This window comes from Homo sapiens, chromosome 2 (genome assembly GCF_000001405.40).
Source record: "Homo sapiens chromosome 2, GRCh38.p14 Primary Assembly".
Classification (NCBI taxonomy): Eukaryota; Metazoa; Chordata; class Mammalia; order Primates; family Hominidae; genus Homo; species Homo sapiens.
This window is the reverse complement of record NC_000002.12, coordinates 62715579-62742783: the sequence shown is the minus strand read 5'-3', so window position 1 is coordinate 62742783 and position 27205 is coordinate 62715579. Positions and strand designations below refer to the sequence as shown.

General features: G+C 37.5%; 1 protein-coding gene across 52 annotated transcripts in view, besides 2 other annotated features; it reads right to left on the bottom strand.

Annotated features, from left to right (window-relative positions):
• EHBP1 (EH domain binding protein 1) overlaps positions 1-27205 on the bottom strand; it is a 372610-nt gene that overhangs the window by 303704 nt on the left and 41701 nt on the right. The gene's annotated exons all lie outside the window — the stretch shown is intronic.
• Positions 11816-12110: a silencer, noted in NCBI's record as "tiled region #1961; HepG2 Repressive non-DNase unmatched - State 25:Art". NCBI's record gives its function as "represses a minimal TATA promoter and a strong SV40 promoter by Sharpr-MPRA in HepG2 cells {active_cell/tissue: HepG2}" and the evidence as "EXISTENCE:reporter gene assay evidence [ECO:0000049][PMID:27701403]".
• Positions 16698-16757: an enhancer, noted in NCBI's record as "active region_15871". NCBI's record gives its function as "activates an Ori minimal core promoter by ATAC-STARR-seq in GM12878 lymphoblastoid cells {active_cell/tissue: GM12878}" and the evidence as "EXISTENCE:reporter gene assay evidence [ECO:0000049][PMID:35858748]".

The window sequence follows — 27205 nt, the reverse complement described above, 5'->3', positions numbered from 1 at the left end:
CTAAATTAATTTGTTTTCCAAGTCAACAGAAGTAGGGGAGTAGTGTTCTTTGTCTTAAGTTAACATAAATGTTCCCCTAAGATCTGAGCAAAATTTTTTAAATAGGCCCCACTTGACTCTGGCAACCTCCCCTCCTTTTTTGGTAGCTCCTTCAATTCCTGGGCCATTCTTTCTCAGGCATTCAAAGTCAATATGACATTCCAGTATGGGCTGGCCAGACCCAAACAATAATATGACAAATGCTTTTCAGACCACTCATTTTTTTCTACATCAATTAAAATTCCCATTTCTCCAGGGTAAGTATCTTAGGAGGTTATTAAGAGGAAAGGAATCTGGGGGACAAAACTTGTATTAATTCAGGAGATATGAATTTATAAAAGTAGACCTTTCAAAGATGACATAGTACAGTTGTCTCTCCATATCTGTGGGGGATTGGTTCCAGGAGCCCCAACAGATACCAAAATCTAAGGATGTTCAAGTCCCTTATATAAAATGATGCAGTATTTGCATATAACCTATACACATCCTCTTGTATACAGTCACACTCTGCTTAACGATAGATAGAGATATAGTCTGAGAAAATGCATCATTAGGCAATTCTGTGCAAACATCATGGAGTGTACTTACACAAACCTAGACAGTACAACCTACTACATACCTAGACTATATGGTAGAGCCTATCACTCCTAGGCTAGAAACCTGTACAGCATGTTACTGTATTGAATACTGTAGGTAATTTTAACATAATGGTTAAGTATTTGTGTATCTAAACATATATAAACATAGAAAAGGTGCAGTAAAAAATACAGTATTATAATCTCATGGGACCACCTTCATGTATGTGGTCTGTTGTTGACCAAAACATTCTTCTGCAGTGTGTGACTAAGTTTAAATCATCTCTAGATTACTATACCTAATACAACAATGTAAATACTATATAGTTGTTATGCTGTATTGTTTATATTATTTTTTGTTATTATATTGTTATTTCTATTGGTTTTTTTCCCTGAATATTTTCAAGTCACAGTTAGCTGAATCCACAGATTCAGAACCTGCGGATAAGGAGGGCAGACTGTATGCAGAAGAGAATTCTAGACCGGGAATTAGCTCTCATACTAAGTGACCTTAGAAATATCTCTTACTTTCTCTGAGCCTATTCCCTAATTTATCAAATGAAGGGACTGCACTAAAATCTCAACAGTTAAAAAACAAACAAAGAAACAACAACAAAAACGCTGACACTAATTGGTTAAATATTTGGTAGTTTAAAAGCAAAATGAAAAATTCAGAAATAGGGTAAAGAATATGAGGCAAGGACATTTGTCTCCTGTCTATTCACAATCTAGAAGTAGCTAATATTACCACCTTTGAACAATATTATGAAAGGGGAAGTAATAACTTTTAGCAGAACAGTAAACTGACTATCAGATTTATGCTCCCTGTTCAAAGCGCAGTGTTAATCACGAGAGGCGTTACAAGAAGCACCCTACTCCCAGACCTTTCCAACCACCACCACCATGCTGGCATTAAGATGGGGTCACATCATACTTCTCACCTCTAGAACATGAGAAGGGGTCTATGTCACTTCTGGAGTAAATGAATAATAAACTAGTATATTTCCCCACACTATCTAAATGGACAGGATTCTAGAACAGAGAGGAGGGCATAGTCATAAGACAAGAGTAGCCTGGGCCCCTGAGTGACCACACAGAAGGCCAGTTGACCTGGAACACCCTCTCTACATTGAGAAGTGAGCAAAAAATAAACTTTTGTTAGGTTCACCAACTTGGATTTCTGGGTGTATCTGCTACAGTAACCCCTCAATGTTCTAGAAAACTCAGTAAATTAAAAAAAACACATAACAATAATAGTTGCTGTCTTGTAAAAGCTTACATTTCAAAGTGCTGAGACCAAATTTATCCTTTTTATGTCCTATCAGTTTTCATTTGTAGGAAATCACTATGTCAAAAAAATAAAAGATAGCTGTACCTCAAAACTTGGAAAGCCTCCAAGCTTTTCCTAAATTAAAAATAAGGAACTGTAAGTCTTTGGAACACAAAAAGTACAACACATTTGTCTCACCACAGAATCCAGGATATGCTTAAAATAAGAAAAAAAGAGCTCAAAACATTAATACCAAACTTAACTGAATAGGCACTTCACTAATAAGGTTATTTCTTTTAGGGAAAAGGACTCTTAGCCATAAACGAACATTTCATGGTAGGATGCTGTGAATATTTAAACAAAAAAGGGGGAGATTGTCTTATCACAGAAATACTCTAACTTTACTTTTTCTCAAGTAATTATTTTTATCCTTCAGTAGGTACATCTGCCTCCTATTAAACTACCACTGCTACAGTTCCAGTTAATTATACTCCTTTATGCTTACTCACAAGAGTTATTTTGCAAGCTGCAGTAATTATTCAATAGGGAAAAAAATTGTACAAATACAAGACAAAGTACATACATAGGATATATTTCTTTTCTGTAAAAATAAAGGACAATTCTAATAATAAAAGATGCAAAACATCTTTGTCAGTTAAATAAAAATACTTTGTTTTTTTACTTATATTTTTGTGTCATTCTATTGTTTAAAAATATTTTAACAGAGTGATTACTTTTGGTTAAAAATAACTGATAATGCAAATGAACTGTTCTGACAGGTATTTCTAATATCTATATGCCAGTATTTAGAAACAGCACCTTAAAGTGAGGAAACATAGTTTGAAGTTTGGCATATTACAGCAGAGTGTACTTTCAGATGGGCCACCAAAATAAATAAATAAATAAATATCTTACTAACAACAGTATAAAGAATTTATAATTTTTCTTTTTTTTTTTTTTTTTTCTGAGACAGGCTCTCACTCTAGCCCAGGCTGGAGTACAAGGGAGTGATCATAGCCCACTGCAGCCTCAGACTCCTGGACTCAAGCAATCCTCCTGCTTCAGCCTCCTGAGTAGCTAGGACTACAGGCACATGCCACCACAACAGCTAATTTTAAATTTTTTTTGTAGAGATTGCTATGTTGCCCAGGCTGGTCTCCAACTCCAGGCTTCAAGTGATCCTCCTGCCTCAGCCTCCCAAAGTGTTGGAATCACAGGCATGCACTACCACACAAGGCCTAATTTTTCTAATATAAGGATATTTGTAAGACAAACAACACTATAATGAATCACTGCTGTATATGTGTGCAATATTGGTCTTCTCAAATAATACTTCATACTTTATTGTTTTACAGTATCACCCATAATGATTCCTTTAATTTAGCATATTATTTACTCTTTTCTTCTAGACCTATTGGAAGAAGCCTCACATGTCACTAAAACAAATATTTGTATGCCCAGGTTATATACCCGGTTCCCTGGAATTCAAGATAGCAGAAAAAAAAAAAAAAGAATCTATCAATCTGACCATTCCTCAGTCCAAACAATCATATTCACAATTTCATCTCAACACACTTCTATAATTACTGCAATTGTGTGTTTTGGATGACTAGATTTGTCTGTCTTGTTTCTGACCTTAAGGGTCTCAAGAGATTTCCTGGTATTCAAAAAGCATTTACTGAGAACAGGGCAGAAAAACAGTATGATAGATAAAAGAATCACATGAAGACAACTTTTTTCTGGTTGCATCATCTAAGCCTCAAGATGTTCCTCATCTGTGAAATAAGAATACAGGACCAATGTAACGAATAGTTAAGATATATGAAGTGCTTAGTGGAGTGCTTTGCTTTCAGTAACTTCTCCAAAAACATTAGCAACCTGTCCATGTGTATGCATAGAGCTTCCAAATAGCTTTGTACAGTCTCCCTCTTAAATGCGAACAGGCAACCAAAGATCATCTAATGAAAGCCTCCAATATGACAGAAAACAGGCTAAAAAGAAGAAAAAGAACTTGAAGGAAGCCGAGACAATATCACCAGTATGCTCAGAGGTATTAAAGACATTACACTCATGAAAAATACCAAAGGAATATTTAATACATAAGAAAGCGTTCTGAAAATTATGTCATTATTTTTCATTAGGTGAGCAAAAAATGCAGAGTTGGAATATAAATTTGAGGAAATCTTCCAGAACTAGAATAAAATAACGGTTATTTTAAAAGAGAGAAATACAGGAAATTTAGATAAATCCAGAAGGCTAAATATCTGACTATCCCCAGTACAGCAGTGAAAAAAGGTCCTAAGATGTCATTTATGCTGGATGCTTTGAGACAGACCTTTCCAAAGTGGAGCAGGACACTTGTGGCCTCCAGGTGAGGAAAGGAACTGATGAATTACCAATGTGTTTAACTGTTTGAGGGGGATTTTGAGAGGTAACAGGTAAGTTTAAGAATAATAATGATACACACACTGCAGGGTCATAAGGGAAGGTGCGGGAAGGACAAAACAAAATTAGTAATTATTAACACAAGGAAATTTTTAAAAAATGTTAATGTGATAATACTATAGGGCTCAGCTGCTAACTATGTTTACTAAGTCACAATGAATTCTGACCTAACTCTGATAGACCTGACTGGGAAGTGAGGGAATAGGAAAAGAGAAGGGTAAGTATGCTTCAGGGAGGATATGATAGGAGGGCTAAATCCTCACCTACCAAATCAACAAGCTAGGAGATACAGTCTACAATCAAAATAGTAAAAGAACAGTTGAAAGTATGTTGCTGAACAATAAAATACCACTTCATACCCATTAGGAAGGCTACTAAAAAAAAGACAAAGGCCAGGCACAGTGGCTCGTGCCTATAATCCCAACAACTTGAGAGGGCAAGGCAGGAAGATCACTTGAAGCCATGAGTTCAAGACCAGCTTGGACAACATAGTGAGACCTTGTCTCTACAAAAAAATTAAAAAATTAGCCGGACATGATGGCATGACCCTGTAGTCCTAGCTACTTGGGAGGCTAAGAGGGAAGAATCATTTAAGCCCAGGAGTTTAAGGTTACAGTGGGCTATGATCACACCACTGCACTCTAGCCTGGCTGACAAAGCAAGACCCTGCCTCTAAAAAAAAACTCTTTTTTTTTAAAGACAGACAATAACAAGGGCTGACAAGGATATGATGAAACTGGAACCCTCATACATTGCTGGTGGGACTGCTACGAAAAATAGTCTGGCAGTTCCTCAAAAGTTAAACACAGTCTTCCAGTTTGCCGCTCCATCCTAACAAGTAAAAAGCTGAACAAGCTGAAATATCAACAACTCTTCTTAGATCCATAACAGAAATGAGGTCGCAGGGCAAACCACTGCCCCCAAATTTAGAGAGATTAGCAGGTGAATACAAAGAATCACAACTTACCAGAGCTGAAACCTCTGTGGGAACCAGTACTTGGGTAGGGAAAGCTGAACTGTAATTGATCAACTACTGAAGGCTCAGTATGGACAAGTCTGAGAGATAAAAACTCCAGGGGGACCCAGTCGCGGGGGAAAGGGGAAGCACATTTTTGGGAGTTTTACCTCCTGTAGCTTTACCACATTCTCACAGTGAACAACAGAGAAAAATCCCCTCATGATCCCAACAAGGAAAGGGGGAAATAAACCATTTTGAATTATCCCAGAGCATTCTTTTCTTAACGAGGCCTGACTCATTAAGACAAGAGAAACTGTTTAACTAGAACCTAGCCTGCTGGGGTTTTGTCAGAGCCTAACTGACCTGGGAAAAGGAAAATATCCAACTCCAGCCCATTCTAGCCATCCTGCCCCACCTAAGCGCTAAACAAAGCACTTCTACAGTTCACAGTCCAGAGGCACAGGCTCGCTAAAAGACTGAGACTTAATCATAGGACTATAGAATGTTCCCCCAAACCCAGTCCTTACTGAATCACTAAAGGCCTACTACAGCAGTTCCTTTTACCCAGTACATTACATCTGGCTATCAAGAAAAATATTACAAGGCATAATAAAAGGCAAAAAACAGAGTTTGAAGAGACAGAGCAAGCATCAAAACCACATTCAGATATGGCAGGGATACTGGAATACTTAGACCAGTAATTTAAACAGCTATAATTAATATACTAAGGGCTCTAATGGATAAAGTATATGGCATGCAAGAACAGATGGGCAAAGTAAGCAGAGAGATGGAAATACTAAGAAAGAACCAACCAAAATAAAACAAAATAAAATGCTAGAGATCAAAAACACTACGATGGAAATGAAGAATGATCTTGATAGGTTTATTGGTAGACTGTAAATAGCTGAGGAAGAAAAATCTCTGAGCTTGGGTATATCACAATAGAAATTTCCAAAATTAAAAATCAAAGAGGGGCTGGGCACAGTGGCTCATGCCTATAATCCCAGCGCTTTGCGAGGCCAAGGCAGGTGGATCACTTGAGGTCAGGAGTTCGAGACCAGCCTGGCCAACATGGCAAAACCCCATCTCTACTAAAAACACAAAAATTAGCCGGGTATGGTGGTGCACACCTCTAATCCCAGCTACTCAGGAGGCTGAGGCAGAATTCCTTGAACCCAGGAGGCAGAAGTTGCAGTGAGCCAAGAACGCACCACTGTACTCCAGCCTGGGCAACAGAACAAGACTCTGTCTCAAAAAAAAAAAAAAAAAAAAGGCAAAGAGAACAAAGACTGAAAAAAAAAACAGAATAGAATATCCAAAGACTGCGGAACAACTACAAAAGATGTCACTACACATAATAGAAATACCAGAAGCAGAGGAAAAAGAAAAGGGAACAGAAGAAATATTTGAAACAATAATGACTGAGAATTTCTCCAAATTAAAGTCAGACACCAAACCACAGATCTAGGAACCTCAGAGAACACCAAGCAGGATAAAGGCCAAAAAACCTACACTTAGGCATATCCATTTCAAACTACAGAAAATCAAAGATAAAAAAATCCTGAAAAAAGCCAGAGGAAATAAATACCTTACCTATAGAGAAACAATAATTACTTCCAACTTCTCAGAAACCATGCAAACAAGAAGAGAGTGGAGTAAAATCTTTAGTGTTGAGAGAAAAAAAACCCACCAACCTAGAATTCTGTACCCTTTGAAATTATCCTTCAAAAGTCAAAGAAAAATAAAGACTTTCTCAGACAAACAAAAATTGGATTTTGTTGCCAGTAGGTATGCCCTGCCAGAAATGTTAAAAAGAGCTCTTTAGACAGAAGGAAAGTAACATAGGTCAGAAACTCGAATCTACATAAGGAAGAGTACCAAAGGATAAATAAATGAAGGTAAAAGGAAAACTTGTATTTGTCTCATACCTAATTGATCTAACAGATAACAGTTTATTTAAAATAATAAATAGCAACAATGTATTTGATTATATATCCTTTGTTAATATACATAGTGTGTATATATACATATATGCTTATATATAAGTGAAATGAATGACAGCAATGATACAAGTGACAGGAGAGAAGAATTAGGATTATTTTGTTATTATAAAATACTCACACAACCTGTAGAAAGGTACAGTGTTACTTGAAAGTGGACCTGGATTAGTTTTAAATGTATATTGTAAACTCTAACGCAACCACAAAAAAAAAGTTAAAAAAAAAAATGGAAGTATAACTGATAAGCCAAGAAAGGAGAGAAAATGGAATCATATAAAATGCTCAATTAAAACCACAAAAGGGGCCAGGAATGGTGGTTCACTCCTGTAATCCCAGCACTTTAGAAGGTGGAAGCAGGAGGATCACTTGATCCCAGGGGTTTGAGGCCAGCCTGAGCAACACAGTGAGCCCTCGTCTCTACAAATAATTTAAGCCAGGCATGGTGGTGCATGCCTGTGGTTCCAGCTACTTGAGAGGCTGAGGTGGGACGACTGCTTGAGCCCAGGTGGTTGAGGCTGCAGTGTGCCGTGATCGCGCCACTGCACTCCAGCCTGGGTGACAGAGTGAGACCTCCATCTCAAAAAAAACAGAAACCCATGGAAGGGCCATGCACAGTGGCTCACGCCTGTAAGCGCAGCACTTTTGGAAGCCAAGGTGGGAGGATCGTTTAAACCCAGGAGTTCAAGACCAGCCTTGGCAACATAACGAGACCCTGTCTCTATTAAAACACACACATGCACGCACACATACACAAAAGACAGAAAAAGAGTGGAAAAAAGGTACAAAGAACAAAGGCAACAAATAGAGAACAGTAACAAATAAGGTAGACATTAACTACACCAATAACCACTTTGAATGTCAGTGGTCTAAATGCACCAATTAAAAGATTGTCAGAGGTTCAAAAAACAAGACCCAATTGTATGTTTTCCATAAGAAACCTACTTTAAATATAAAGACAAGTATAGATTAAAAGTAAGTAGATGTAGACAAATATACCATGCTAATACTAATCAAAAGATTTGGTTGCTTACATGCTTGTGAAACAATCTACAATGAATTATATATATATATTTGAAACATCTCAAAAAAAAAAAAAAGACACATGCCACACACCTTACATAAGAATAAACTCAAAATGGATCCAAGATGGAAATGTTAAAATGTTTTTTTTAAAAAAGGAAACCATATAAGTACTAGAAGAAAACATGAGTGAATTTCTATAAGCCTGGATAGAGAAATACTTTCACTATGTCTCAAAATCAAGATGTAATATTGATAAACTATATTCAAAAAAAAAGGCATACTGAAAAACAACATAAACAAAGTTATACATTAAGAAAATGGGAAAAACTATTTGCAATATAAGACACTGGTACAGGAAAGACAAAAAGACTTCTACTTTCCAGTCAAGCATGTCAGGAGCCTGGAAGCTGTCACTTCTATATAGCCCCACAACATAAAAAAACAAACAAACTGAAAATCAACTCTTCTTAGATTCCTCAGAGAATTGAGGTCACAGGGCAAATCACTACCCCCAAAACTGGAGTGAAAGGCAGACAAAGAGAATCACAACTTACAGGAGAAGCAGTCCAGGAACCAGTATGCTCCACAGTACCAGAGTAAGAAAGCCTAAATTGTAATTGACCAATTACTAGAGGTTGGATGTGGACAAGTCTGAGAGTTAAAAACTCCCAGGAAGATCAGTCTTGGGAGGCCACACATTTTTGTGAGTTTTACCTCCAGGAGCCCTACCAGGTTCTCTCACAGTGCAGACTGGATAAAAATGCCCTCCGGCAAAGAAGAGAAAAAGTAGCCACTTTGAAATACTTTCCCAAGCCTCTTAATAAGGCCTACCCTCAAGAGAAACTATTTTACTAGAAACTAAATGAACTGAGAGAAGTGAAATAACCAACTCCAGTACCCTCTAGACTTCCTTTCTCACCTAAAGGGGAAAAAATTGAGGAGCACTGGGGAGGGTAAAGCCAAAAAACACAATCACTAAAAGCCTGATTATAGGACTATAGAATACTTCCCATTCCTCCACACCTTACCACCATATCAGTAGGGCTCCCATATAATAACAGGGAAATACAACTGAAAGAACTATCCAACTCAGACCTCAGTTAGGAAGAAATCTCTAGAGAAACTACAAGACAACAGAGGAGATTTAAAAAACAAAAAAAGGTACAGAGAATATTTTAGCCTCTGACACCTATAGCTATAGCTGCGGTAAACAGTAAACAGAGCCCAACTCCTATCCAGATAAAGAGAAAACCTTTTACTAAAAAGGGCTATTTTATCTCAATTTCACATACCCAGTACATCATTTCCAGCTTTCAACAAAAAATTACAAGGTAGAGCAAAAGACAAATCATTTTAAGAGACAGAACAAGCATCATAATCAAACTCAGAGCAGAGATAATGAAATGATCAGAACTGAAATTTAGAACAACTATGATTGATATGCTAAGGGTGTTACTGGAAGCAGAGAAATGAAAACTCTTAAAAAATCAAAAGGAAACGCAAGAAATCAAAAACACTAATAGAAATGATGAATGCCTTTGATAGGCTCATCAACAGACTGATGATAGTCAAGGAAATAAGTTAACTTGAGAAAATGTCAGTAGAAAATTCCAAAACTGAAGTGGAAATAGAAGAATTGGGAAAAAAAGAAAAAGAACAGAATATCCAAAAACTGTGAGACAATTACAAAAAGTATTGAATTAGTCTGTTCCCTACTGCTATAAATATTTGAAACTGGGTAATTTATAAAGAAAAGAGGTTTAATTGGCGCATGGTTCCACAGGCTTTACAGGAAGCATGACAGCTTTCGGGGAGGCCTCAGGAAACTTTAATTCATGGCAAAAGGTGAGGGGGAAGCTGGCACGTTTTACATGGCCAGAGGAGAAGGAAGAGAGAGCAAGGGAAGGTGTTACACATTTTAAACAACTAGATCTCATGAGAACTCTTATCACGAGAACAGCACTAGAGGGATGGTGCTAAACCATTAGAAATTGTCCCCACAATTCAATCACCTCCTATCAGGCCCCACCTCCAAATTGGGGATTACAACTGAACACGAGATTTGGGTGGGGACACAGATCCAAACCGTATCAGACATAAATACACATAATGGGAATACCAAAAGAAAAAGAAAAAGAGAAAGGCATAGAAGAAATATTTGAAGCAACAGTGCAACAGTGTCTGAGAATTCCCAAAAATTAATAGACACCAAACCACAGATCTAGGAAACTCAGAGAACACTAAGCAGGATAGATACAAAAAAATCTACATGTAGGCATATCATAGTCACACTACAGAAAATCAAACACAAAGGAAAATATTGAAAGAAGCCAGAGGAAAAAACACCGTACCTATAAAGCAACAATAACATCAGTCTTTTCAAATATCATGTAAATTAGGTAAAACTCACAAAAGTGTGGGGTCCCCACACTTGTAAGCAGGAAGAGAGTGAAATAAAATAATAATGGGAGTGGAAATGTACCAACCTAGAATTCTGTATCCAGTGAAACTGTCCTTCTTAAGTGAGAAACAGACTTTCTCAAACAAAAGTTAAAAAAATTTATCACCAATAGACTTCCCTTATGACAACTGTTTTGTAAAAAATTATTCAAAAGAAGGAAAATTATATAGTCAGAAAGTCAGATCAACATAGCAAATCAAATCCAACAATGGTTAAAAAGAATTATACAACATGATCAAATTGGATTCTATGTATGCAAGGTTGGTTCGACATTTAAAAACCAATTACTGTAAAAACCAATTATTATAAAAATCATTGTAATCCATCATATCAACAGGCTAAAGAAGAAAAGCTATATGATTATATCATTAGATGGAGTATTTGACAAAATCCAATGCCATTCATGATAAAAACTCTCAGACAACTAGGAAAAAAGGGGGAACTTCCTCAACTTGATAAAGAACGTCTACCAAAAAACCTAAGGATAACGTTATACTTAACAGTGAAAAACTAGATGCCTTCCTGCCAAGGAATAAGGCAAGGATGTCTGCTCTCACCACTCCTAGTCAAATCATTCTGGAAGTCCTAGCTAATGCAATAAGACAAGAAAAAGAAAAGGTATATAGGTTGGAAAGGAAGAAATAAAACTGTATTTGTTTGCGTGTGATAGGATTGTCTATGCAGAAAGTCCCAAAAAATCAACAAAACTCCTAAAATACATAAGCAATCATAGCAAGATTGCAGGATACAAGGTTAATATATAAAAGTCAATTCCTTTTATACATCAGCAATGAACAATTGGAATTTACCAATTGGAATTGGAATTTAAAAACAGGAATACCATTTATATTAGCACCAAAAAAATGAAATACTTAGGTATAAATCCAATAAATATATACAAGATCTATGGGAAAAAAATTACAAAAATCCAAGAAGATCCAAATAAATTGAGAGATATCTGTACATGGATGGAAAGACTCAATATTACCAAGATGCAGTTCTTCCCAATTTGATCTATAGACTCAATGCAGTATCAATCAAACTCCCCACAAGTATCTTTCTCTCTGTCTTTCTATCTCTGTCTCTCTCTCTACCTGTCTCTCTCACTGTGTCTGTCTTCTGTCTTACTCTTTCTCTGCCTGCCTGTCTGCCTGTCTGTCTCTCTCTCTCCGTCTCTCTGTTTCTCTCTTTCTTTTTCTCTCTGTCTCTGTCCATCTCTGTCTTTCTCTGTCTGTCTCTTTGTCTGTCTCTCTCTTTCTTTCTCTCTTTGTGTATCTTTGTGTATCTTGTCTTTGTGTATCTCTGTCTGTCTGTCTGTCTCTCTCTGTCCTTCTCTCTTTGTGTATCTTTGTCTATCTCTCTCTGTCTCTGTCTCTCTCTCTCTCTCTAAAAAAAAAGAAAAAGATGTTTAGAGCAGCTTTATTCATAATTGTCAAAACTTAGAAGCAACTAAGATGTCCTTCAACAGGTAAATGGATAAACTGTGGCACATCCAGACAATGGAATATTATTTACTCATGGAAAAGAAATAAGCTATCAAGCCACAAGACATGGAGGAAACTTCAATGCATATTGATGACTGAAAGAAGCCAATCTAAAAAGTCTACCTAATGTATGATTCCAACAACATAACATTCTGGAAAAGGCAAAACTATGGTGACAGTAAAAAGATTAGTAGTTGCCAGAAATTCAGTGGGAGGGAGAGGGGGAGTGAGGGAGAGATTTCAGAGGATTTTCAGAGCCATGAAAATATTCTGTATGATACTATAACGGTGGAATCATGTCATTATTAATGTAAGATATCAATAAGTGGGGGGAAATAGGGGCAGATGAGGGGTATATGAAAATTGTCTGTACTCTACTTAATTTTTCTGTAAATTCATAACTGCTCAAAACCATAAAGTCTATTAATTGTTTTAAAGTTAAAGGAGAAAGACCAAAAACTAGATAGAACAGTAGTCAATAAATAACACAACTTTTATATGCACTAAGAAAACAAAGAATTTGTGTGACTCTCTCTATAGCAATATTTGCTTTATTACAGTGGTTTGGAACTAAGATCACAATATCTCTGAGGTATGTCTGTACATATTAAAACTACCCCAAGATACCATTTCTCACCTCTCACTTTGGCAAAAACCTCAGGACAACAAATTTGGTACTCGAGGCTGTGGGGAAACAGGCACTCTCATATATTTCTGGTGGGAAGGTAAATTGGTAAAACCCTTATGGAGAGGAATTTGGCAATATCTAACAAGACCACATATGTGTTTACCTTTTGACACAGCAATTCCATTTCTAGGACTTTACTCCCAAACATAAAGGCTATTCATTAAAGTATTATAGGTGCAAAATATTATATTATATTATATTATTTTATTTTATTTTATTTTATTTATTATTATATTTATTATTATATATATTATTATTATATTTATTTATTATATTATATTATATATTATATATAATATATATTATATATATTATATTTATTTATTTTATTATATTTATTATATATTTATATATTTATATATATTTTTATATATTTATATATTATATATTTATTATTATATTTATTATTATTATATTATATTATTATTATTATATTTATTATATATAATAAATATGATATTTATTATTATATTATATTATATTTATTATTATATATATTATATATATTATATTATATTATAAATATTATATTATATTATAAAATATTATATGTGCAAAATCTAAATGACCACATATAAGAGAATAGTTGGATAAACTATAGTGTATCACAAAGATAGTACTTTGTAGCTGTTGAGGAAAAAAAAAAAGAATAAGGACAAACTCTATGAACTGATATGGAATGATTTCCAGAATATATTAAGTGAAAAAGTAAAGTGAAAGTACTGATTGTATTGTCTTACGTCTTCTGCACAGGTAAAATAAATAAATTTTTTAGAAGTGCATATATCTGCACGTTCATGCAAAAAGAAACAAAGGAAGAAAATAACCAGACTAGACAAATGGTGCTAGAAGTAAATACTCACATACAAAAGAATAAAAGTAGACACCTTCCTTACACCATACACAAAAATTAACTCAAAATAGATTATAGACTTACTCTTACTATATGTAAGAGTTAAAATTATAAAACTCTTATAAAAAATAGAAGTAGTAAATCTTTGTGACTTTGGGTTAGGCAAAGTCTAAGAAGGCACAACACCAAAAGTACAAGTAACAAAATAAAAAATAGACATATTATTAATGTATTAATAGACACACTACATTTTATGAAAATTAAGCCCTTTTTTAAAAACACCACCAAGAAAGTAAATAGCTTACAACATGAGAGAAACTATTTGCAAATCACATACCTGATAAGTGTCTTATATCCAAAATATATAAAGAATTCTTACAACACTAAAAGGAAACGATCCAATTAAAAATGGGCAAATGATTACAATACACATTTCTCCAAAAAAGACATGTAAATGGTCTATAAGCATATGAAAATATTGTGGCTCAACATGGTTCAGCAATTAGAGAAACGCAAGTCAAAAACCACAATGATATAACACTTTACATGTACTTAAATGGCTAAAATAAAAAAGACAATCAGATGTGTTGGTGAGGAAATGAAGAAACTGGAACCTTCATACATTGCTGGTGGGAATGTGAAATGATGCGGCCACTTTGGTAAACAGTTTGACAGTTCTTCAAAAAGTTAGTTCCTACATGGTCCAGCATTCCACTTCCAGGTATGTACCTGAGATAGAATAGGAATGGGACACAGCTCCTTCTTCGTAATGTTTAAACCATGCCTTTTACTTAAAGAATTCCAGGAACTGGCCTTAGGAAATCTAAATATCAAACCGAGGTTGTGGAGTGTCCCACTTCAGGAAAGAATGCTTAACAATTAACTTATAGCCTTGTTGCCTCTGGCCAGACTACTAGGGTGTCCAATATTTAAGATAAATATCACAACCAGATATGCTGACCCTCATACCCTACCCTTCACAGGCTTTTCCCAGCCCAGTCTGCATGTCTCACCCCTGATGTCAATCGTGCACTTTGTCTAACAAAAAATTCCCTACCAGCTGTTTCACAGACTCAGCTAAAGAGTCCTTGCACCTCTGCTGTCTCCCTTGCGCTCAAGTGCAAGCCCCAAAATAACAGCCTTGTCTGGGATATCTACTTGGCCCTATGTTAATTTTTATTATACAGGGAGCCAAAGAGCCTGTGATCTGTAACATACCCAAGACACAAATGTTCATAGCAGCATTATTCATAATAGCAGAAAAGTGGAAACAGCCCAAATGTTCATCAACTGATGAATGGGTAAAATGTAACATATCCATATAATAGATTATTCAGCAATAAAAAGGAATGAAGTATTGACATTTGTTACACATGGATGAACCTTGAAACCATAATGCTAAGTGAAAGAAGCCAGTCACAAAAGACCATATAGTATCTGGAATAGGCAAATCTAGAGAGAACAGAAATTAGATTAGTGGTTACCTGGGGGTTGAGTGGGGAGGGGAGTTCCAGAGGAATACGGAGTGACTGCTAACAGGTACGGGATTTTTTCACAAAAATGTTCCAAAATTAGATAGTGACTATGGTTGCACAACTCTAGAAATACATTAAAAACCACTGAATTGTACACTTTAAAAGGGCAAACTGTTTAGTACATGAGTTATACCTCAATAAATCTGTTTAAAAAAAAAAAAAGGAAGAAGAAGAAATCCAGAATAACAAAACTGGTTACATTCAGGAGTTGGGTGGAACAAGGTGGAAAGGACAGAGTTGGGAATAGGATAATCAGGATGGGGAAGACATAATTTTAAAAATAGTTCTTGTAGGCCGGGCGCAGTGGCTCACGCCTGTAATCCCAGCACTTTGGGAGGCCAAGGCGGGCGGATCACAAGGTCAGGAGTTTGAGACCAGCCTGACCAACATGGTGAAACCACGTGTCTACCAAAAATACAAAAATTAGTCGGGCGTGGTGGCATGTGCCTGTAATTCCAGCTACTCAGGAGGCTGAGGCAGGAGAATTGCTTGAACCTGGGAGGTGGAAGTCGCAGTGAGCCGAGATCGCACCACTGCACTCCAGCCTGGATGACAGAGCAAGACTCCGTCTCGAAAAAAAAAAAATAGTTCTCACATGGGGAACAACATTAACATTTAATTAATTAATTAATTCAACAGGATGGGAGGATTTTATAGTGTGAAATATAAATACAAACGAATCTATCTATGCTTCAAATAAAAAACAAAACCAGGCTGGTAGTGAGTTATCTCAATCGATTGTTCACAGTCAGTAACAGATTGAACTCCTAGTTCTATTCTTTCCCCCTTTCTCAATAGTGCACTTAACAAGTCTAAAATAAAAAATAAAAACAAAACCATACTGAATACTAACACTAATGGGTAAGAGTTTGATTAGGAATAGGATAAGAGAGAGGGCAAGATGGCCGACTAGAGCAGCCAGATAGAACAGATGCCACGAAGGGATTGAAATGACTGGCACATGCCTAACAGATCTTCAGAGGAAAAGTACTGAGAGCAGAAAGAGGGAAGACACAGAAGCTGGGATGAAGGTGGAGGAAGCTGGAAACCCAGCACGGGGCTACCTACCGCACACCAGTAATCATTCCAGGCCTCCAAGGATTCCAGGAGACTGGGTGAGTTGAACTGGCAAGGAGAAACCCACCCACTCTCACCACTGACCTCTGGAATCCTGGCAAGAGGAGACTCCTCCACCACAATGGACACTCGAGTTGGCAGGGAGAGCTGCTTAGAGAAGTGGTAGGGGCAGTAAGCCAGCTGATGTGGAGCTCAGAGGGTTTGGTGAAGGAGCATCTGTAATAGGGCACAGCCAGGGTTGCCCATCCCCCTAGGCTTGACTTGCTCCCATAGGAGATTTTAGCCCTAGAGGTACTGTTGGACCTCAACTCTGCAGGGCAGTCTTGCCCATCAGACAAGGCCAGCCCAACCCCTGTGTCCCTTGGTCTGCTGGCCTCTCCCTGGGTCCTAGCCTGGCCACTTCTGCTTGCACAGAAGCCTTGAGCGCCCTAGGGGCCCACAACTTAGCTCCTATGCTAGCAACAGTGCTTGACTGGTGGAGAGCTCCAGCAGGGCAGCTCTCATAGCCACGCACCAGCCTACCTGCTTCCTCCCCACACTGTAGCTCCCACACACCACCTCCAATCATGACAACCCCCCACATCGCTTTGCTGGCAGTGTGTGCATGGGCAAGTTTTGGCTTCCTTGCTCCATCAGCTGCCCATGTGCATGCACCCTACCCAGCCACTGCTGCCTCCAAAGTGCAGTCCATCCCCCATCCTCCACCAACCATATTTCAATGGGAGCCTCGGCAGGCACAGAGCCATCCAACTCCACCCCCACCAGCACCCTGCCTTTGTACCAACACTGCTGTGGGAGTGAAACCAGGCAGAAAACAGCAGACTCCCTGCTGCCCTGAGTAACCACCCCTGATGGCAGTGCACACAGTGCACACAGACTTGTGCCTGCCAGTGCCCCACCCCTGTGCCAACACCACCACCAGCATGACGGCATGCACAGTTGCCAGCAGGGGGCCCCCGCATCCCCACGAATGGGTTGCCTCTGCCACTGAGGTGAACACTGGCTTGGAGGCAGGCACCCCGGGACCCACTAGCACACTGCCGCAACCAATGAGCATACACTCCACCACACTGCCACAGCCGCTGCTGCTGGCATATGCAAATGAGGCACATGCAAATAAGGCACAAGCAAATGAGGATGGATATCACTGTCACCACACTACAAAACACTTTGGCCAACACCACCCAGCACCTTGGAGCGCCCCCACCGCCACAGCACAGTGGATTCCTATCCCCGAGGAGCCAGAGAACAAAGTCAGGGCTGATAAAAGTCCTCCAGAGTTAGAGCACACAGTCCAGGAGTTGGGAGCTGAGCACTGGCCCCCTAAAATCTTCCAGAAATGAAGTCAGTTGGCTGAATCCACCTTATACCACAATCAAGTCCTCTAGGTCAGCAGTCCCCAATCTTTATGGCACCAGGAACCAATTTCATGGAAGACAATTTTTCTACACAAGTTGAGAGAAGGCATTAGATTCTCATAAGGAGCATACAAGTTACATCCCTTGCATGAGCAGTACACAATAGCATTTGTGCTCCTGTGAGAATCTAATGCCACCACTGATCTGACAGGAGGCGGATTTCAGGTAGTAATGCTCACTCGCCTGCCTGCCCACTACTCACCTCCTGCTGTGCAGCCCAGTTCCCAACAGGCCATAGACTGGTACTAGTCCATGGCCCAGGGGTTGGGAACCCCTCCTCTAGGCCATCAAATAGGATAAAAGAAAAAAAAAAAAACTATCCAAAGGTGAGCAACTTCAAAGATTGAAGAAACATCAGCCCATAAAGATGAAAAAGGACCAACAAAAGAACTCTGACAATTCAAAAAGCCAAAGTGCCTTCCTTCCTCCAAACAACTGCAACACCTCCCCTGCAAGCTTTCTGAATTAAGCCGAGATGGCTGAAGTGACAGAAATAGAATTCAGTATATGGACAGGAACAAGAATCACTGAGACGCAGTACACTAAAACCCAATCCAAGGAAGCTAAGAATCACAATAAAACAATGCAGGAGCTGACAAGACAAAATAACCAGTATAGAAAAGAATGTAACCAATCTGACAGAATTGGTTACACACTACAAGAATTTCATAATGCAATCACAAGAACTAACAGCAGAACAGACCAAGTGGAGGAAAGAATTTCAGAGCTTGAAGACTGCTTTCTGAAATAAGACAGTCAGACAAGAATAGACAAAAAAGAATGAAAAGGAACAAATAAAACCTCTGAGAAATATGGGATTATGTGAAGAGACCAAATCTATGACTCACTGGTATCCCTGAAAGAGATGGGGAGAGTGTAAGCAACTCGGAAAACGTATTTCAGGATACCATCCATGAGAACTTCCCCAACCTAGCTAGAGAGGCCAACATTCAAATTCAGGAAATGCAGAGAACCCTAGTAAGATACTTCACAAGAAGATCATCCTCAAGACACATAATAATCAGATTCCCCAAGGTTGAAATGAAAGAAAAAATGCTAGAGAGAAAGGTCAGGTCATCTACAAAGAGAAGCCCATCAGACTAACAGTGGACCTCTCAGCAGAAGAAACCTTAAAAGCCAGAAGAGACTGGGAGCCTATATTCAACATTCTTAAAGAAAAGAAATTCCAACCCAGAATTTCATGTCTCACCAAACTAAGCTTCATAAGCGAAGGAGAAATAAAATCCTTTCCACATAAGGAAATGCTGAGGAAATTAATTATCACCAGATCTGCCTTACAAGAGCTCCTAAAGGAAACACTATATATGGAAAGGAAAGACTGTTTCCAGCCACTACAAAAACACACTTAAGTACACAGGCCAGTGACACTATAAAGCAACCACACAAGTCTGCATAATAACCAGCTAACATCACGATGACAGGATCAAATCCAAACATATCAATATTAACCTTAAATGTAAATGGGCTAAACACCCCAATTAAAAGGCACAGAGTGGAAAGCTGCATAAAGAACCAAGACTTATTGGTATGCTGTCTTCAAGAGACCCACCTCACATGCAATGACACCCATAGGCTCAAAATAAAGGGATGGAGAAAAACCTACAGGGCTAATAGAAAACAGAAAAAAAATCAAAAGTTGCAATCCTAATTTCAGACAAAATAGACCTTAAATCACAAAGATTAAAAAAGACAAAGAAGGGCATTACATAATGGTAAAGGGTTCAACAAGAAGACCTGATTATCCTAAATATGTGTGCATCCAAGACAGGAGCACCCCAATTCATAAAGCAATTTCTTCGAGACCTTCAAAGAGACTTGTGGAAGACTTCAACACCTCACTGACAGTATTAGATCACTAAGGCAGAAACTTTGAACAAAGATATTGAGGACCTGAACCCAGCACTGGATCAAATGGACCTCATAGACATCTACAGAACTCTCCATCCAAAAACAACAGAATATACATTCTTCTCATCTCCACTTGGCACATACTCTAAAATCAACCACATAATTGGACATAAAATACCTCAGCCAAGGAGCAAAAGAACTGAAATCATAACAACAGCTCTCTTGAACCACAGCACAATCAATATCATGTGACTCCTGATGCAGAGAATACACAGCTTCACTTTGGTATTACTGCAAAGTATTAATAACCTGAACCTAATCATGAGTAAATATCAGACAAACACAAATTGAGGAACACTCTTCAAAAGTGTCAAGGTGAATTGACACTTAAGAAGTGTCAAGTGTCAAAACAAAGACTGAGGAATTCTACCAGATTAAAGGAGATTAAAGAGGTGTGACAACTAAATGTAACATATGGTCCTGGATTAGATCCTGGTCTAGGGAGGAAAAAATTCTTCTTTTGGTATCAATGGAATTCTTGGGATAATTGGAGAAATCTGAATTAGGCTTATAGATTAAGTAATAACATTACATACAAATGTAAATTTCCTGATTTTGACAAATTAAACTGTGGTTATGTTTAAAAAAAAAAAAATCCCTATTTTTGGCAGGGCATGGTGGCTCATGCCTGTAATCCCACCATTTTGGGAGGCCAAGGCAGGTGGATCACGAGATCGAGACCAACCTGGCTAACACAGTAAAACCCCATCTCTACTAAAAATACAAAAAATTAGCCTGGTGTGGTGGTATGCACCTATAGTTCCAGCTACTCGGGAGGCCGAGGCAGGAGAATCGCCTGAACCCAGGAGGCAGAGGTTGCAGTGAGCCAAGATCACACGCCACTGCACTCCAGCATGGGCAATAGAGTGAGACTCTGTCTCAAAAAAAAAAACAAAATTCCTATTTTTAAGAAATACATACTCTAGTGTTTATGGGTAAGGGGGCACTATGGTACAACTTACTCTTAAATGTTAAGAAAAAAATTACATACAAAATAGCTTAAGAGAGATTGATAAAGCAAATATGGTAAAATGTTGCCACTTGGGGAATTGAGGGGAAATGTATATGTGAATTATTTGTATTGTGTTTGCAACTTTTCTATAAGTCTGAAATTATTTCAAAATAAAGGTTCTTTTTAAAAATAGGGTTATTTTTAAAAAACAATGTACCTCCTTGTCAGAACCTCTGTACAAAAGGCAGTAATGATATCAAAAGGTTATTTTATAAATAACCATTAAGTACACACTGATATGAATAAATAACTGAATAAATAAATGAGGAATAAAGGACAAATCTTGCTTACAGGAAAATTCCAAAAATAAATGTAGAAGGAATAAAGGAAACAGAAAATTATCATTAGGACACAGTAGTGATCGCTACAAGCAAAATCTACTGATGAATTTTTAAATTGGTGACCAAAACTTTAAAGAAAAATAGGACACTTACATAACTTCAAAGCATCTTCCCCCCAGTATTTATTAGTTCTGTGGTAGTTGTAACATATGTTCAAATTCTTTGATACTTCTCCTTCCAGGAGATGAAACTTAATTCTCCTCCCTGAGAAATTAGATTTAGAAACTGGTTTCTAATGCATAAAATATGAAAGGGTAAAATAGTAACTTTACAGTGGAGAAACTCCATAGACTAAGTGATCAAGGTGAATATTACCAGTGATAAGTCACGTTGATATCATGTGGTATATCATATTATGTGACAGGGGCTAGAGGCACTTTACCTCTGTGGTATCTTATCAAAATTCCATCACCTCAGTCTAATGACTAAAAAAACATCAAACAAACCCAATTTGAGGGACATTCTACAAAATAACCTAACCAGCACTTGGCAAACCTAACAAGGTCATGAAAAACAAAAACAAAAAAAGACTAAAAACTATTACAGATTAGAGGAGATATGACAACTAAATGCAATGTGGTAACCTGGACTACATCCTTGGACAGAAAAAGGATATTAGTGAGAAAACTGGTAAAATCTAATAAAGTCCTGTAGCTTGCCTAATAATATTAATCTTAGTTTTGATAAATGACAATGGTAAATTTATTTATTCAAATTTTACCCAAAAAAAGCTGGGTGATGTGATATGTAAGAACTCTCTATATCAAGCTTGTCCAAACTGCGGCCCAACACAAAATCACAAACTTTCTTAAAGCATTATGAGATTTATGCAGGGAGTTTTTTTTAAAGCTCATCAACTGTCATTAGTGTTAGTGTATTTTACATGGCCCAAGACAATTCTTCTTCCAGTGTGACCCAGGGAAACCAAAAGATTGGACACCCCTGCTCTGTACTATCTTTGCAACTCTTCTGTAAGCCTAAAATTAATTCCATAAAAAGTTTCAAAATAAATGAATTAACCAATTTTTAAAAGTAATTTTGCAAATTAGAGTACTCTTCAAATTAAAGCTGAACCATTAAACTTGATATCTAGACCCACTTATTGCATGAATAAATCCAGTTTCAATTAAGTTACTTTGAGACAGGGTTTTACTATACAGCTTTCTGCATTTAATGATTTTGGAGAGGGAAAGAGAAGAATAAAAGATAAAATTTGAGAGAAACTATTTGCATGTAGTAAAAACAAGATTTCAGAATCTTAAGGGAAATGGTTGGAAGAAGACTAGTAAAACAGAATAAGGACATATTTAAAGGAAGGCTAATTTTAGAAGGACAACTATGGCAGTAATATAGGCAAAGGGGAGACCAGAGGGGCCAGGAAAGCATTAAGTGCCATCACAAAAGCCTACACTAGAGGTTCCCAAACTTTCTGGGTTTACAAGGCCCTTAATGTGTAATTTTTTTCAGACTCCCTCACCCCCAAGCCAAAAGAAATACCTAACCATTTTGTTTATTAAGTAGTCAGGTCCAAACAACTTAAGAAGGATGTATGTCCTAAAAACTTAGCACCTGTTTTAGACACTTGACAATCTAATTCTCAAACTTGAGAATTAGATTGGACACTGCCTCCCTAGTTTCCTGTACCACACAGATTTTCATGTGATGTCTGCTTTTTGTCATAGCAACTGCCAAAACCCCAGCTTTGCAAAAATGTGGTATCATTGAAAAGAAAGTAGCAATCTAATTTTGAAACTGAACTACCTCAAGCTAGTACAGTCTTCCATTAGTATCAGTGGAGGATTGGTTCCAGGACCTCCTGAGGATACCAAAATCTGAGGATGCTCAAGTCCCTGACATAAAATGGCATAGTATTTGCATATAACCTATGGACATCCTCCTGTATACTTTAAAGTCATCTCTAAATTACTTATAATATCTAATACAATGTAAATGCTATGTAAATATTGTTTTATACTGTATTTTTTAGAGAATAATGACCAAAACAAATCTGTACATGTTTGATACAATTTTGTTTTTCAAATATTTTCAATCCACAGTTGGTTGAATCCATAGATGCAGAACCCATAGATACAGAGAGGACCAACTATACTTTGTGTGGTTTCCAACAGATGCTGCTACGTTTCCTTCAAAATTGTTAAACATCTCTTGCTCCCTTGTGAGTTCTCTGCAGTGCCCCTGGGCTCCTTGGCACAGTTTGTGAATCATGGCCCTTGGCAAAAGACAGCAAAGGATGGAAACAAGGCAATGGAATAGAAAAATCAACGTGAGAATTAAGACATGCTTCAGAGAAAAAAAAATGAGCAGATCTACTAGTGATGTTGTCTAGAAGTACAATTATAATGCAAGTACTTAAGAAGTTTCAAAACTTTTCTTAAAAAAAAAATTATTCTGGTCGGCACAGTGGCTCATGCCTGCAATCCTAGCACTTTGGGAGGCCAAAGCAGGTGGATCACTTCAGACCCGTGTTCAAGACCAGCCTGGGCAACATGGCAAAACTTTGCCTCTACAAAAAATACAAAAAATTAGCCGGGCGTGGTGACACACATCTGTAGTACCAGCTACTCAGGAGGCTGAGATGAGGGACATCACTTGAGCCCAGGAACCGAGACTGCACCACTACACTCCAGCCTGAGTGATGGGAGTGAGACCCTAGCTCAAAAAAAAAAAAAAAAAAATTCTACCTCAACATTCAGAATAGCTATCTCTCAACACTCTTTGCTTATATGGAAGAGAACAAACCAGTCTTGTCTTTAAATGAACCAATGAACCTGTTTAAATATTTGTTAATTTTGGCAGCTAAAATGGCACAGCTAAAACACATTGCTCTCACTTTTAATCAGAAAGAAAATCACAAAACAGCTGAACCACTGTAAGAAAATTCAACTCAAAATTTCAAGTCAATAAACACTTTCTGGAGTACCAATAGAACTGTCATCCAGCACCTGCTAAAGCTTTGTTTCAGATGGATTCTTAAGAAAGAATCAAATATGGTAGTTCTAAGACCTAATTTGATACTCTTCAGCAATTGCGTAACTTCTAAAATGACAGATTTGCCATCACTATCACAGACCTACAGAATCAGGACCTCCTAGGGGATATGGAAATCTCCATATTTGCAAAGCACCCCAGCAATTCTAAAGATAGTCAGTTTGGGAAGCACTGGCTAAATCAGCACTGTCCTGTAAAACTTTTTGTGGTGATGAACATGTTCCATATTTGCACTATCCAAGATGGTGGCCGCTAGCCACATGTGGCTAGTGAGCATTTGAAATGTGGCTACTGTAACTGAAGAACTGAATTTTACATTTAATTTAAATTGATTTAAATTTAGATGTAAATAGCACATATAGTTAGTTCCCTCTGTACTAGACAGCACAAAACTAAATGATTTATGTAAAATTTCCATTCTTCTAAATTTCCCAAGTGGTACTCTTGGTTTAAATTACATGATCAGAAAACTAGGTTTCTCAGCCATATTCTCTCATAAAAAGTCTTCATGAATGGTCAACATAAACATTATCTTATTTAACAGTGGTTCTGAGTCTTTTGTAGTTGGAGATTTTATCTAATGTCATATTTTATTTTCATAATAAAAATCCTCTTTGGATTAAGGTCTAAGAAAAGTCTGCAAACAAATTTATATACTTTCTTTAGCCAGGAGGACTATTAAAGAGCCAATGTGCATCCCTTTTTGCCTTGGCCGCCAATAAACTCAGAACAAAATCCAGTCTCCAATAGCAGCAAACTAACTCCTCTCAAGTGCCTAGTAATACGTGCTCTCTCTGCTCCTGTAAGACCATCATTCTATTTATATCCCTAAATTAGTCAACATGGTATTATTTTAAATTCTTAGGCTGACAAACTCTTTCAGACATAGGCAGGTTATCAAATTTTAAAGTGTTTGTTATAATTAAAGTTAAATTTTATAGGTTTTTTTTAAAAAAAAAACTTTATTAAAACTATTTTCGAAATAACAATACCCGGATTAATAAAACCAGAAAATGTTTTAATAAACCAAACTTACTAAAGAAAATCAGCAGGTACCTTTTAGCAAAGCTGCCAAAAAATATCACTATAACAGTGATACATAAGACAAATACCAGGTACAATTACATCCTGCAGTAATTTCACTGCCTCTGTTTCAAACTCAGTTCCACTCCTTTTAACAAATGTGCAAAAGTCCTAATGTAGAATATGAACATCCCTATTGAGTATTCAAAATGCTTTGTGCAATTTTTCCTGAACTATTTTTATATCATGCAGTGAACAAGTTCAGTGGCTCTTTTGTTGAAATTTCCTAAAAAATCAGAACAAACACATTTGATGCATCAATAGCACATTTCTAGAAATGCCTAATTTTAAGTTCCCTGGGCATTTTAATTGCAAAACTCATTTGAAACTAAACTAAATCATAAGAACAGAACCTCCTCACATAATCCCTTAAAATTTCATTTTAGAAATCAACTTTTAAAGTATGTAAATCAAGATTTGATAACAAAATAATGTATGAAAATTACACACTACGAAAAGATCCTAGGTTCATTTCTTTAAAATCATGACAGGAAAAAAATTTTTAAGTAAAAACTGGCCCTGGGCATGGTCCTTACACCTGTAATCCCAGCACTTTTGAGGGGCCAAGGCAGAGGGTCGCTTGAGGCCAGAAGTTCAAGACCAGCCTGGACAACACAGTGAGACCCCTGTTGCTACAAAAGATAATGAAAAAAGAAATGAACAGTCATCACGTAGAGAAACATCATAAATTGTAGCAGGTGGCAGACACTTTAGCAGCCAGAGTTGGCAGCCAGGAATGCAAAAAGCACTGGGAAACAACTCCTTGCTGACTATTCAGGCAGTTGCCAGGGGAGCAAAGGGCCTCGGGAAGAGGAAAGGGACCTCAGACCTTCCAGATTGCTTCCTCTCACAAGAGACTATTTGTCGCAGGAATAAAGATGGCTGCTGAACCAATGGAAGACAACTGCATCAACTCCGTGGCAATGAAATTTATTGACAATACACTTTATAGCTGAAGATGATGGTAAAGTATAAATGAATTTATTTTTCTTTGCAAACTAAGTACCTGCTTGAGACACATGTGTATTGCCATTATTCACTGAGAAAAAAACAGTTCACATGATACCAATCTATTTGGAAAGCCAATCTGCCCTCAAAGGAATGTGGACTCAGTAGCACAGCTTTGGAATGAAGATGACCATAAAAGACACAAAGAAGAACCTCTAGCAAAAGATGCTTCTCTACACCTTAAAAAATTATCCAGCTCTTAGAATCTACAAAATAGACTTTGCCTGCTTCATAGGTCCTAAGATTAGCAGGGAGTCATGGATTCTGTTGGGTGGGGGAGTTGCATAGGAAAAGGGGATTGAAGCCTTAGAATTGTCCAAAATCAGTAACACCTCCTCTCAGAAATGCTTTGGGAAGAAGCCTGGGAAGTTCCCGGGTTGGGGCGTGGTGGGGGGTTGCGGGGCAGAAAATTCTGGAAGTAGAGGAGATAGGAATGGGTGGGGCAAGAAATGGGTGGGACATTGAAAGGTCAAGATCTGAAAGAAACCATGCATTTATGATGAATTCAGGGTAATTCAGAATGAAAGAGTAGGAGTAAGAGAATGAGGAGAAGCTAGAGTGATAAAATAGGGTGTAGAGCAAGATGTTCTCTTACTCCAAGATGTGAAATTTTGACGTTATCTTAGCGATAATAGGGTTAATTAAGCATAACATGTATTAGCTAGGGTAAAGATTAGTTTGTTGTAGCAAAGACATCCAAAGATACAGTAGCTGAATAAGATAGAAAACGTTTCTCTCAAAAAAAGTCTAAGTAGGCAGCTCAGAAGTAGTATGGCTGGAAGCAACCTGATGATATTGGGACCCTGACTTTCTTCAGTCTTGTTACCCATCATCCCCCAGTTGTTGATCTCATTCACATAGTTGAAAATCGTCATTCCTTCTGGGTCCATACCTCAGTTATCAAGAATGGGTCAAGATAAGAGGAAGTCAGGTCCATTCCTTTCAAAGACTCTAATTGGAAGTTGTACACATCAATTCCCCTCATATTACATTGACT